The sequence below is a fragment of the Homo sapiens genome, chromosome 18 (assembly GCF_000001405.40).
Source record: "Homo sapiens chromosome 18, GRCh38.p14 Primary Assembly".
Classification (NCBI taxonomy): domain Eukaryota; kingdom Metazoa; phylum Chordata; class Mammalia; order Primates; family Hominidae; genus Homo; species Homo sapiens.
This window is the reverse complement of record NC_000018.10, coordinates 46,815,690-46,830,146: the sequence shown is the minus strand read 5'-3', so window position 1 is coordinate 46,830,146 and position 14,457 is coordinate 46,815,690. Positions and strand designations below refer to the sequence as shown.

Sequence of the window (14,457 nt, the reverse complement as noted above, 5' to 3'; positions counted from 1 at the left end):
GAGGCTCCAGGTATCTACTTCTCTCTAGCCATTTATACTCATTGAGTTACACAGGTGATGCTCAGTAAGTTACTTAACTATTATGTTGCCTGTTACAGATTTAAAACATAGGACAAAGGGAGTGTAATAATTGTTGTAAAGTATAAAGTATTGCAATACCAAAAGAAAAGGGGGTCAGCTAACATTACTTATGTTTTCAAGGTAATGTGTATTACTTTCTTATTTCACCTTTAGGCAAAGCTGTTGATCACATGTATGTACTTCTTAATTGTTTTTTAGGCTTTTTATGGAAATTCTCAATGACTGTTCTGATGTAGATGAGATCAAATTCCAAGAAGATGGTTCTTGGTGTCCAATGAGACCGAAGAAAGAAGCTATGAAAGTATCCAGCCAACCGTGTACAAAAATAGAAAGTATGTGTAGAATAGCAGCAGAGAGTAAAGCAGTGAGACTCGTGCAACATTATCATTAATCTTGGCCCCTAGAACTATACGTTTGGAATTCAGCTTGTTGACTCAGTCTTTTGATGATATATAGTTTTCCCCCAAATGATTTTTATTCTTTCCTGAAGGAATGTGCTAAAGTTTATACCATCTTATCAGCTATTTCATAGTATATTTTTCCTGTGTAGAATAAAGGAAACATTCATCTAAAATCATTTTAAAATATGATGTTTGTTACAAAACAAAAAGTCACAAATGAATTTATATGGACAGTTTTTCAGAATTGTTCTTAGAGTATCTGTAGGTGGAACCCTAGGTGGAGGTGAGGTTAGAGAGGCTGCATCATTGGTTAATGGCCTTGGTGGTTTGGGGATGGTCACAGGTTAGTTGCTCAGAAAGTAAACAAATTGTTACCTTCCATTTCTTTGTGGAGAAGAATTTTAACATTGCCTTGATTACCTAGAATGTATACTCATCCATCAACTGCCTGCATCCATCCACACTAAGTAGGGAAACTGAGGGCATTTGGAGTAATTGAAACGCACAGGTGAACTTAGAGTTTCTTTTTATCTAACAGTCTCATTGAAACCCACACGTGAACTTAGAGTTTCTTTTTATCTAACAGTCTACTCACTGCATTTCAGTTTTGTTCTGATTACATTTGAAGTTCTAACAAACAATGTAATGAATGGAGTAAGAAGAAAGGGGAAAAAATAAAGGATTTATGCCATTATTAATTATTCCTCTGCGATTGACACTAAACCTGAGTGCAGTGACCAAGGTTTCTCTCATCTTTCAGAAAAATGGGGAGTGATTTAGTTGATAAGTTTCTGTTGCTTTTCCATTATCAACTGTCATTCATTTTTAACTAAATACATTACAGATAATAACATACTTTTCTGTGAAAATGTGAGTTAACAAATATGGTATGTGAGACTGTCTTTGTGGGTAGAAAGAACCTACGTGATTAGCAGATAATTCATAAGAAAAGTTTAAATGTCTTAGTAACTTAATTGAGAGGTTTGGGTTTTTTTCAACTTATCAAGATGAAAGTTTTTATCAAGTTCTGGCTTATGGTGAAAAGTCTGTACTTTCTTTGATATAAGCATAATTGCTAGAATGGAAATATCTGGTTCTGAGCTAACTGTGCCACATGTGTGCGAGAATACATAGCTGTTGAACTCACCCATTCTTGTCCCATGACCTGAGACCAGTTCCCTAACTCTGCGTGTCTTTCTGTAAAACGACTGCTGACCTGCAGAGACAGGATGAGCAGTAGGAGCTGCACAAATCCTTCAGTGGTATTGGAGGCATAACTAAGAACATTCTGTCTGAATGAGACTTCTAACCATCTGTCAAGGAATAGTGCTCACCTGTCTCCCTAGGTGAACAACCATTTTACAGACAGAGGTCTGGAGTTAGGGAGTTGGTATTTGTCCATGGGTTGGAGTATGTGGCTTCACTGGCTATATGTTGTCAGGAACATACTATACTGAATATACTAGACTCTACCACTAGAGTTTATTTGTGTTATACCTTTAATTTTTTTTTCCTTTTGTTTCTTTACATGCAGGTTCAAGCGTCCTCAGTAAGCCTTGTTCAGTGACTGTAGCCAGTGAGGCAAGCAAGAAGAAAGTAGATGTTATTGATCTTACAATAGAAAGCTCTTCTGACGAAGAGGAAGACCCTCCTGCCAAAAGGAAATGCATCTTTATGTCAGAAACACAAAGCAGCCCAACCAAAGGGTTTGTTAATTTATAGTTCACTATTGTTCATTACCCTTGCAACTAATTGCTCTTGGATAGATTTATAAATGTCTCTTTGGGAAATGGCATAACTGTAGAAGGCTATTTTAATTTGCCTTTGTTGAGTTGAAATATTTTCGAGTAAGCACATTGTTTATAGGAAGCAAATTTTGATGGAGAAAATATTTACATCTTTGGAAAGTGAGCGTGTGAGGTATTTATTTCCTACCTGAGACTTTTTGTTATTTTCTTGAACCTGTTTGTAAGGAAATTTGGCATCTCAGACCAGATGAGAAAGTCTGGTGTAATGGAGTGTGGAACTGGGAATCTGACAAGTATGGATTCCAATTTTGGCACACCATCGCTTACTTGTTCTGTGATCTTAGATGAAATACTTAATTTGATTGAGCCTCTTTTTTGTGTTCTGTTAAATGGAGCTAAATAACGCCTATATTACAGGATCATTTTCAGGTTTTAATGAGATGAAAGAAAGCCTCGGTGTCAGGCATGTGGTAATTTCCCAATAAAAATTGATTCCTTTCCCTTTTCACCCTCTCCAGGGCAAAATATAGGTGGGTAGGATGGCATTCTACCTGAATTTTAGCGTGGATTCTCTGTAAGTTATCTGGCAGAAGGCATTACTGACCTGCATTAAAAATCAGGTTTGGGTATTTAACAATAGTTGCTTTTTCAGAGAGGTTTTGAACCATAAAAGGAGATAACAGGAGAGTTCTCCTGGCTGTCTACGAACACATTCTTTCAAACTTGGGTTTGCTAGTGTCATCTTTTTGGCCTCTTGGTCCACTTGGTTTTCTAATGGCTTTACTGAGTTATAATTTACATAGCATAAAATGTACCCATCTTAAGTATATAATGGCACAATTCAGTGATTTTAGTAAATACATAGAGCTGTGCAATCATCACCATGATTCAGTAGTAGAATATTTTCAACACCCAAAAAACTTTCTTCATGTTCTTTTGTAGTTTATTCCTATTTACACCCCAAATCTAGGCAATCGTTTTTTTGTGTCTATAATGCCTGTTTAGACATTTTATATAAAATGTCTTGTTTTGCAACATTGTTTATTTTTATAATTTTAAGAATTAAACCTTTTCAGCTGCCTTCTTTGCTGTTAAAATACTTACATTTCCAAATATAATTTACACATATATTAAAGGCATATATTTACTTCTACCCATTTAATTAGAATGAGGTGGGGTTTTTGTGTGTGTGGAACAAAATGAGGAAGTATTTCAAGTGGATTTTTTCCTGGTGTGCCAATCATTTATTGCTCCTTTGAGACAAATTGGTTGGTACATCTGTAATTTAAATGATAAACAGAAAATGAAGTTATAATTTTGAAATGGTTACGTTCAAAATGTATTTTGAAGGGGAATGAATGCTTAGATGTGATGTTTCTGGATTTTACTCTGTAATGATACGCTTTAGAATATAGTGGAAAAACATGAGTTGCAAGTACTGCAGTTGGCTGAATTCATGCCAGGTTGAGAGGTCATGCCTAGTGATGCTGACTCATGAGTTGTTGTGATCTTGGAGCATGTCTCTGGTGGCATGCCACAAGGGTCTACCCTCTGTCCTTTACTACATTTTTATCTGTGTTTGATAAGTCCATGAAACAGGAGGGATGGCACATACACAGTGGGCGACAAAATCTGAAATGACCTCAGTATGCAGAGGAATAAGGATAGTTTACATCTGTGATCAGCTACTATAGAGATAAATGTTAAGGTTCCTCATTTAGGCTGAAAAGAAAACAAAAACTAACATTGGTAAGTATAAGATAGAAATTTGTGACTAAACCAGCAACACATGAAAGTTTATTTTAAAAGTCTGTATAAAGCGCAGCTACCTAGTTCGTTCCATGAAGCTGATGTAGCCCTTAACACCCAACCTAGACATACATACACATTAATACACGGAAGAACTCTTAAGAAACAGACTCACATAGAAAGATAAATGAAAATTCTGAATTCAGTCTTAGGAAATCATTTAATTATATATTAAAATGACATCTGTGACCAACTAGAGTTTATCCCAGGAGTGCTTTAATATTAGGAAATACATTGATAAGATGGATCTCGTCATAAGGACAACTTTGTAGTCATCTTCATGGATGTTGGAAAGGCCTTCAGTAAATTAATTGCCATTTCTGATAGAAACTCTTTCAAATGTCAGGTTTCAGTTAATGGTTTGAAGAGTTCACCACTGAAATCAGTTTGTTCTTAGCATTAATAAAATAAGCATAGTGTCCAGGATCCATACCATGCCAGTTTTGTTCCATTTTAGGCTATATGACTCTCAGAGCATTTCAGTCAGTGCTGATCATCAAGAATGGTATTAACAAATGAGTATGGCCAGAGCAGGGGAACGGGAAGGTGAATAGTGGAATCTGGAGCAAGATGGATGAGTGGATCTTAAGGACTGAAGCTGTTAAACCAGGAGAAGAGATTATTTGATACCCACCTTGTAGTTCTTAAAAGGGAGACAATGACTAGCTGGATTAAGTTTGTTCTTTATTACCAGATTTAGGTCCAGTGGACTAAAGATACATGGATAAACTTTCTATTGGAGCTTTCTGAATACTAGGAAATTTAATCTTTTGTCCCAAAATCATATTTTCTGTGTTAGAGTGGCTGCCACCTGTCACAGTGTCATAGTGGAGGCTCATGCTATAGTTATATCATCTCTGTGATCCCCTCCTACTCTTAGACTTTTGTGACTTTGTTCTTGGTTGTCCTTTTCATATCCTTTCTTGTAGTTCAGCATCTAGAGTTTTTATGGTTTTCCTGTGCTGTGTAAGTTTATCATAGGATTTCTTGGCCATCAAAGATAGTAAGCAAATGAGAAAGAACAGAGAATGAGAAATCAGGAAAACTTACTCTAATTTACAGCCCCGAAATTATGTGAGCAACTATTTTTTTTTTTTTTTAATTTTTTGAGACAGGGTCTCAGTTTGTGACCCAGGCTAGAATGCCGTGGTGTGATCGCGGCTCACTGCAGTCTTGACCTCCTGGGTTGAAGCGATCCTCCTGCCTCAGCCCTCCAAGTAGCTGGAACTACCACCCCCAGCTAATTTTTTTGTGTTTTTTTTTTTTTTGTAAACATGGGGTTTTACCATGTTGCACAGGCTGGTCTCGAACTCCTGAGCTCAAGCCATCCACCTGTCTTGGCCTGCCAAAGTGCTAGGATTACAAAATGCATAAGCCACCACGCCTGGCCTGTGAGCAACTATCTTTTAAGAGGTATTATTATTTTAGTAAAAATTATTCTTATAAACAATTTTACAAAGCACCAAGAAGAAAGCAAAAAATATCTCACCTAGAGAGAATCATTGCCATTTTGATGGCAGTCCTATTCCCTTTCTTTGCTTACGAACCGGAGTCTTTAAATGCAGTCTTATAATACCTGTCAGAAGAAACTTGTATGTTAATCTTAAGACATTTAGAAAACCTCTGATGTTTTTCCATATTAAAAGATAATTTTACATATTGTGCCCCTTCTGAAAAATGAGTGGTTGCTTTGCCTTAATAAGAAGGTATTCTAAAGACAGGAAACATAATAAGGATAAATCTATATGTCTCCAGATTGATAATCATTAAGAATTGGTAGCAAAATTGCATCTTTTTTATACTTTTATGATCATAAAGTGGGAGCATACAGTGAACTTCAGGGTTATAAATAGAAATGGTCAACCTATTTTCAGACATCCAAGTCTGAGCAAATGTGAGTTTCATGCAATTCTCTGATCCAGCATATAATCCGGAATACTAATATTTGCTATATAGCAGCATTCTAGCAATTCACTTTTGTGCTGTGATATTATGGATAAAGTTACAAACGTTTAAAATATAAATGGTCACTTGCATAATGTATACACGTATCTGTGTGTGTTTACCAATCCTATGAAGAGGCAGTAACAAGTTTTAAAAGCTTTAAATCTTTTTATTAACATATAGCATCACATTTTTACATCCATCATTTCACCATCCATAGCCATTTACATTTTTTCATGGAATCTGTTACTCATATCTATTTTTTGCATAGGCTTTAGAATCATTTTGTTTCTGAATGTGGTCTTTGTGAAGATTTTGATAACAAAAGCCTGCTCCCAGTATGTAATTTGATAATCCTAACTAATGACTACTTTAAGCCATTCTATGTAAAGTTGAATTTGTATTAATGGTTGCAACATTCAGGTAATGGGAATTAACCAACACTAAGTAGTTTAGCTTTTCATATGTTTGCTGAGGTTTTAGATGTTGATTTACTAATTTGTACCGCCATTGGATTTTCACATTTCACATGTTTTGACAGTCAACCTTTTGGTGTTGCCTAAGTAAGGAGTAGCTATTTACTCATTTAAAGTTTCATGTTACTAAGTGACAGGACACGTACAGTTATTAGGTGTTACTGTAGTGACAGACAGGTGTGTAGGTACATTCACTTGACTCCTTTTATAGATGTAAGTCAAAGGGTCAGGGAAGGAAAGGGAGCTCTGTTATTGTTGTTACGTGTAAGTCTATTTCAAGTTGAAAGGGCAATCAGGATCAAAACAAAAGAAAATCTCCAGTGTGAAATAGCAAAGGAAGAGAAGGGGGAGTGGGAAAAAGACATTCATTAGCTTTTTCTTGTACCAGAAAGTCTTTTAGTTTCTTTCAGTGGCAGAGAAAAAAAAAACACGATAGGTTAAATGTACTTTTTTTTGAGACGAGGTCTTGCTTTGTTGTCTAGGCTAGAGTGCAGTGGAGCATTCATGGCTCACTGCAGCCTCTACCTCCTGGACTCAAGCAGTCTCAGCCTCAGCCTCCCAAGTAGCTAGGACCTTAGGCATACTTCAGCATATGTGGCTTTTTTTTTTTTTTTGTAGATACAAGGTCTCCCTATGTTCCGTAGTCTGGTCTCAAACTTCCAGCTCAAGCAATCCTCCTGCCTTGGCCTCCCAAAGACCTGAGATTACAGGTGTGAACCACCTTGCCTGGCTCTAAATGTACTCTTAAGTAGAAACTTTTTAAATTAAATGAAACTTTATATATATATTTGGTCTTCAAAAGCCTGCCTGTTAACATTTTTAAAACAATAAGATATTAATACTTTGAGACAGCCAGAATAATCAGACCACTTCTTTAGTCCCCTCCCCAGCACTCACGTATACCCCAGTCTCTCTCTCCTCCTTACCCACTGTGTCCTTCCTCCAGTTTCTCATATAAACTCTTGTGTGTGAGAGGTGGTCTCATGTTATTTGAAAAACTTTTGATGATGTCCTGTTCGTTTGATCCCTGTGGAGGACCACTGTTTTCAAACCTCCAGAAAAGATGAGCTTTAGATACAATATAACTTATTTTATCTCCTCCCAACTTCTCTTTTTCCTCCAGAGTCTGCCTTTTCTAACATTGCTCACATACTGCTTGTGGTTTTAGGTCTTCGAGTAGCACTGGAGGCCAAGAAATCTCCAGATTCTAACCTACAGACATGTGGTTGATTTTTGGAAGATAACTTCCTTCTGTCTTTATCTACCTCGGGAAAATGTATTTTCAAATACCAGGCTTATGTTATTGCCTCAAGCATATTATATGTCATAAGCTTCCTAAATGGATCAGTTTTTGATCAAAGATTTCTGAACTCTGACCTGTGTTATTTATTCACTTTTCTGAGACTAACATAGTTGCCAACTCAACAATGTATGTACTCTCAAGATGACTGTTTTCCACATTTGTATTGATATCCATATTTAAGTGGTTTGACATTTAAATTGAGGTTATGAAATAGTTTTCCAGAGTACAAAGAATGTCATGCAATTTGTCATCATTTCTCATTACTGATATTTAATAATCAGCAATAACAGGAAAGGGAAAGGATGCCCAGAGGTTATCCCAGTCTAGCTTTGTGACCATGGTTCCCACCATCAACCATAAGACCAGTAACAGTGCTCAGTTTCCTACATACATTCAAGGATGTCTTTCTTGTGAAGTTGTAGTTGTTTACCCTGGGCTAAGAGAAAATGCAGGTTAAATAGGAAGAATGCAAAAAAAATCTCTGTTTAAGCTTGAACTTTTTCAAAAGTATGTTTAATTATACTGCTTCTTGAAATTATAAAGTAATTCTATAGTGTATATACAGTTTTATATAATACCAATTGTGAAGTATTTATTACATATGTTTAATTTGTATTTTTGGTAGCATGAACAGCTAATTTTAAAATCATAAACTCTCTTAGGATTTCACCTACCTGGTAGGTGCTATCATGGTAGCCAGCATTTTTATTTCTGGATATTATATTTTAAATCCTGAACACTCATCCTCGTTTCTGATTGTGGCCTATTGCCATCAAGTTGGTCGGCTTTAAGATTGGGTAATTTTGCTCAGATGATTCCCAGGAAAGATTGCAAATAATTAATACAATTCGAGTTAGACTTGAAGAAATTTGGATTGTGCTACAGTGAGTAGCTTCACTTCTCAAGGTTCCCTGATTTAAATCAAACCTTAGGGATCTTCTATGTTAGTTTTAAATTTCTTTATAGATAAAATTACTGATACCCATATACATATTACATACATATTAATAAAAGTGATGTCTATTTCTATTTGTGGATGGAAGTGTTATATCTCACTCCAGCACTGTACATTGTGTTTGAATGTCAACTTGCTCTTATGTCGCAGCTGCTGTTGAGAGCCAAGATATGTTCATGTTAAAATGAAGACTATTATGGGAGAGGAGAGTAGAGTGGAGTGCTGTGTAGTGAGTAGCTGCCATATAGTTGTGCTGAAACTGGTGAACGAACGACTGAGAATGCCCAGTGGTGCAGCTCTTCTCTCCTGTGAACTAACAGCCAGATTGTTTGTAATTTCCCGTGCTATTTAAAACAGGGTTCTCATGTATCAGCCATCTTCTGTAAGGGTGCCCAGTGTGACTTCGGTTGATCCTGCTGCTATTCCGCCTTCATTAACAGACTACTCAGTACCATTCCACCATACGCCAATATCAAGCATGTCATCAGATTTGCCAGGTATGTGGAGTGTTTTTGTTTCTTTTGTTTTTTAATGAAAGTTTATTTTTTTTAATCTTAATCTGTGAAGCCAGTATAGTTTTGAAATTTTCAGTAGAGGTGCTAAGGAAATTTGAAAGCTTCGGGTAAAGGTCTTATCTGTTTTTATACATCACATCCAGTTGTTATTTTAACTACAGAGCAATCTATAGATTCCTGGTGATAAGAAATATAGTAGAATAGGAAATGTTAGAGATTTTATTCTTCCTTTTGAAGAATTTGTACTTAGAGACTTCTTCTTGGTTTCTTTATTATAGAACCTCACAGGTGAAGGGAGAATATTTTCTCATACTCTTCTTGGTAGCTCATCAGAACTTCAGAATATATTGATGTTGTTTGGGGCTGATTTTTCCTACAAGCTGTGGATTTTATTCTCCTTACAAAGATAGAGTCTACCATCTGTTTCCCTAGAGTGGGGCTTAATACTTGGGATATCTTTTATATGTACAGTACTTTCCCCTTATCCACGGGGGATAAGTTCCAGGACCCCCAGTAAATGTCTGAAACCACAGATATTACAGAACCCTATATACTGTTCTTTTCTATACAGATATACTCATGATAAAGTTGAATTTTTAAATTAGGCATAGTAAGAGATGAACAGCAATAACTAATAATAAAATAGAACAATTATAACAATATGCTGGCATCACTTTGGTGCCATTATTAAGTTAAAATAACGGTTACTTGAACAGAAGCACTGTGTACTGAGATAGTTAATCTGTTAACTTAAATGGCTACTGAGTGACAAAGCTGGGAGCCACTGGACAAAAGAATGGTTCATGTCCTGGGTGGGATGGAGCATGATGGAGCCAGGACAGCATGAGATTTCATCAGACTATTCAGAATAGTGTGTAATTTAAAACTTATGAATTATTTCTGGAATTTTCCATGTGATATTTTCTGACTGCAGTTGACCACAGGTAACTGCAATCACAGAACGCAAAATCTTGGATAAGGGGGAATCTACTGTAAAATATTAAGGTTGCTAGAATTACCTTAGTATCAGGACTTCTGCAACCAAGGCCATATTACAAAATTTAAACTTCCCTCCTTTACTCTTCTTCCCTCTCCATAGCTATTGCTTTTGCAGACATTTCTGTCAATTATATTTGAGCAAGTTAGAACCAGTACATTCATGACTTCCCTTCTCTCCGAAGGCCCTTTTAGTGGAATACAATTCTCTCCTCCTGTTACTAGTTTTCTTCTCTAGGTTTATGAAGTTAATTTTGACCTATGATTTATTTTTTTTCTCCCCTTAGTGAGGTCTTTATTTTAAGCACAATGCTTATCCTGTTGGTGAAAGTTTATGTTACTGAAACAATTGATAATTGGCTCGGTATAATTTTGCCACTTGAAATTTGTTTAGATTATGTGAATAAAATTTAGTGGAAAAGAATAGACATTTTATAGTATCCATAGAAAAAAATGGCTTTTAAAGTTATTCTTTGCTTCTTAGATATAGTTACTCCACATGTAATTTGGGAGTTGGTATTTTAAGAAGTTCTTTGTAGACCCAGCTAGCACAAATTGTAAAGTATTTGTAAAGTATATACAAAGTCTAATGCCAAGGTACAGGTGAGGATTCATGTCGGTGACAAAGATGGAAATTCAGAGATTCTTAATTCCCAACTGCCTTTTATGGCTGTAACATGGGTTGTTGGAAGAGTGTCTGCATGTCATCTCAGTATGTGTTATAAGCAAGCATTCTGAAAGGATTTGTTTCCTAAAGACCTTGAATTAAAAATTAATCCTGAAAAAAGGTAATGAGCATTTCTGTTCATTAAAGTGATCCTACCATTTAGCAGTAGCATAGACACAATTTACCAATCACTTGCCCTGTTAGTTTTTCAGTTCTCTGAACCTGGATTAATTTTTAATTGGGGGAAATTTACATTATTTCAGAATTTGGGCATAAAGTGAGACTTTATTTCTTTTTAGAAATGTGCAAACTTGAGAAAAATGCAGTAAAATATGTCTGAACTGGCTATTTGGTAAAAATGTGTTTCAAGCTGATATTGAGCAAACAAGACTAATATCCAAGGCTGATATTTAGCCAGTATTAACAGTTATGGTGATACTGGTTGTTATTATTGAAAAGCTTTCTTACCAGTTGATAACTGAATAGAATAGGATCTATTTTGCTTTAGAAGAATTGCTAGTTTATCATCATGTATGAATTATGTAGCAGTTACTATATCTAAATAGTTTAGTTTTACTTTGATTTTATTGTTAATGTGCTCTTTTGTGATTAGTAATTTGGTTTTATTTTTATGCATAATTTTTATGTAGTTAGTCATACTGTGAAGAGTTTTGGTATTGATAAACTTAATAATTTATAATAAAATATTAAATAGAACACCAAGAATGGAGAGATAACAAAGTTTTAATACATTTCTTAACATTCCTTTTAAACATCATAAACATGAATCTTCTGAATCTGCAGGAGAACAAAGAAGAAATGATATTAATAATGAACTGAAGCTTGGAACATCTTCTGATACTGTGCAACAGTGAATACAAAATAAAACAAATAATTTGTATTTATGGAGTGGAAAACAGCTTATTTCAAGGAAAAATATGACTGCCTTATTATTGCTAGTGCCATATTGTCAGGTGCGAATGGTGCTCAAAAGTTGTATCATTAAAATTTGAAAGTGCTAAACATTTACATATTTAATCATGTAGCAGTTATGTTTTGTTAAAAGTTTATGACTCAAATAAGGAAAATGTGTTGTCATCAATGAGAAAAAATCTAATGAGTCAATTTCACAGTGAAGCACTTAAAATTTTTAAATTAAAATTTTATCAGTGTTAATAAAATAATGTTAACACTACCTGCTTTTTAGTTAAAAGTAATTGAGCATTTTCAACCATGAAATACTTCGGAGGGCATAAAAATATATCAGTATGACACGCTGCAGTTGAAACTTATGGTGAAATAAGAAACAGCATTTTGCTAAACTTACGAAACAAGGCAGTAAAATTTTAATCACTACTGATGAAACTTGATTTTATATAAGAGTTTTAATATTCTGCTTAAAATGTAAAATGCAAGAAGACTTTGATGGTTTCGTTTTTTGTTAGAAAGAATAACATCTAAAATACCATATCAAACTTCACTGTTAGTACTTGAGAAAAAAATGGTTTCAGTGAGAGAAATATTTACATTAAACAGGTTTTATATAGACAGCACCCTTGTAATGCTTGGTAAACAATCTAGAATTCCAACCAATATTTTAGAAAAATTTCTAGGTATTTTATTATGGTGTTGTATAAGTCACCACATTCAATTTTCCGTGGATGAGGTATCAATATACAGATAAGTAAATCTCTTAATTGTTTTCTAAATAAACTTTATATTTACCACACACATGAAATCATCAAAGAGAATTACAGTACATCTGAAGAACTGGAATTGAAATAACAAAAATAGGATCCTCAGTGGGTATTCTCTGGTGATAGAGCTTCAATTTTTAATTTCAATTAAAATAAATAGGCTTGATATAATTTTCAAACTGTTTTATATCAAGCTTGCGTATTTTAATTGAAATTCTGAAATTGAAATAGTTGAACATTTAGAAAATGAGCATTTTTGAGTGGCTTGGCTTCAGTACACAATATTCCAACACCATTGTCAATACTTAGCGTTATAAAAAGGTTTCAGTTACTAACATGAACTGAGAGATACAGCAAATATTAAAGATGATTGAACATATGAAACTGAAAAACTATAAAAAGGTAGAAGCTATTGTAAAAATGAAGAAAACTGAAAAACTGAAAAGATAAGAAGTTACTGTAAAAAGAAAACGGTTATACCATTTGAAGCAGAACAAAATGTTCCAATAAACTTTTTTTACTTAATAATAGAAATATTGAAAATGCAAAACTCTGAAGGTATTACAAGGGCTAGACAAATTTTGAATTGTTTGGCATAAGAAGGGAGAGGATTTATTGAATATTATTAATATGAAGACAAAATCTGCTTATTGAGATATCTCACCTATTATCATTTTAATAGAGAAGTCATTGGAAAAGTTTGTTGTAATTCTCTTTGGTTTAGTATTGGCTCAAACCACTGTGTCATATAGCTAGTGACAGACATATGAAATGAAAAATTACAGCAAGCTGGGTGCGGTGGCTTATGTCTGTAATCCCAGCACTTTGGGAGGCTGAGGCGGGAGGATCACTTGAGCTCTGGAGTTCAAAACCAACCTAGGCAACATAGCGAGACCCTCTCTCTACAAAAAAAAAATAATAATAATAATTAGCTGGGCATAGTGACACACACCTGTAGCTCCTGCTTCTTGCGAAGCTGAGGCCAGAAGGTAAAGGCTACAGTTACCTATGATTGTGCCTCTGCACTCCAGCCTGGGCAACAGAGCAGACTCAGTGTCTCCCAAAAAAAGGAAAAAAAAAAAATCTGTAGCAACAATTTTCAAAAAGGCTTTAGAAATCGTTGGAATGATTTCTTTCAAATGATTGGTGCTATAGCTTGTATCACTTGATAAGCATTTTTGTAATACCCTTATTTGGAGATTATAAGAGAATAAATATACTTAAATTTTTTGAGTTATAAATTCATACTGGTTAGTAGATATTTTAAATGTACCCACTGATATTCTCTATTTTGCATAAAAGCATAATGTCAGACTTTCTCTGTGTGGTGGTTATATTCGGGGTGTCTCTGAATGCCAGCATAAAAATTCACGGAATTGAATAGAAATTGGCCTGTCTTAATGACCTATGGTTTCTTTTTTAATGTTTTGAAATAATTAAAGAGAGTTTAGTCACACAGGGAGGTCTAGGTGAACTGATGTTGAAGTTTATTACTAGACTTTTCAGACCTAAAAATTTTATTTATTGTTATTACTTGAATATGTCAAAAGTATATTACTGGACAACCTTTTACACATTCCTCTTTCTAAAATCGAATTGGACAATTACAGTTCTCTGGTTCAGAAAATTACATTAGCTCAGAACCCAGTAACCCTTGATAACCCTGTTAGCGCAGCAATTCCCGAGTGTGTGCTTTGTGCAGAGCGTTGGACTATGTACTGCTCTTGATGTGGGGACAGCGGGGACAGAGAGCTGTCATTGAAATAGACATCTGTTTAAGAAGCGATACTTAGATGAACCTCTGTATTTCTGAAAAATAAATGTGAAATATCTTAAGAGCTTAAGTATGTTTTTTTTTTTAGATG

The 14,457-nt window shown here is 34.8% G+C and overlaps 1 protein-coding gene across 29 annotated transcripts in view; it reads left to right on the top strand.

Moving 5' to 3' along the window:
* The window catches only part of PIAS2 (protein inhibitor of activated STAT 2), a 116,928-nt gene that overhangs the window by 89,999 nt on the left and 12,472 nt on the right, over window positions 1-14,457 (top strand). For 12 of the 29 annotated variants that reach the window (NR_136684.2, NR_148702.2, NM_004671.5 and 9 more), the window contains 3 exons: window positions 280-413; window positions 2,017-2,188; window positions 9,075-9,214. Coding sequence is in view for 22 of the 29 variants with exons in the window: in NM_004671.5 (NP_004662.2) it covers window positions 280-413; window positions 2,017-2,188; window positions 9,075-9,214 (446 nt within the window). In the remaining 7 variants the exon portion in view is untranslated. Of the gene's footprint in view, window positions 1-279; window positions 414-2,016; window positions 6,862-9,074; window positions 9,215-11,699; window positions 14,437-14,457 lie in introns of those variants that run through there. The other 17 variants (NR_136685.2, NR_148699.2, XM_006722573.3 and 14 more) reach the window with 3 other exon arrangements.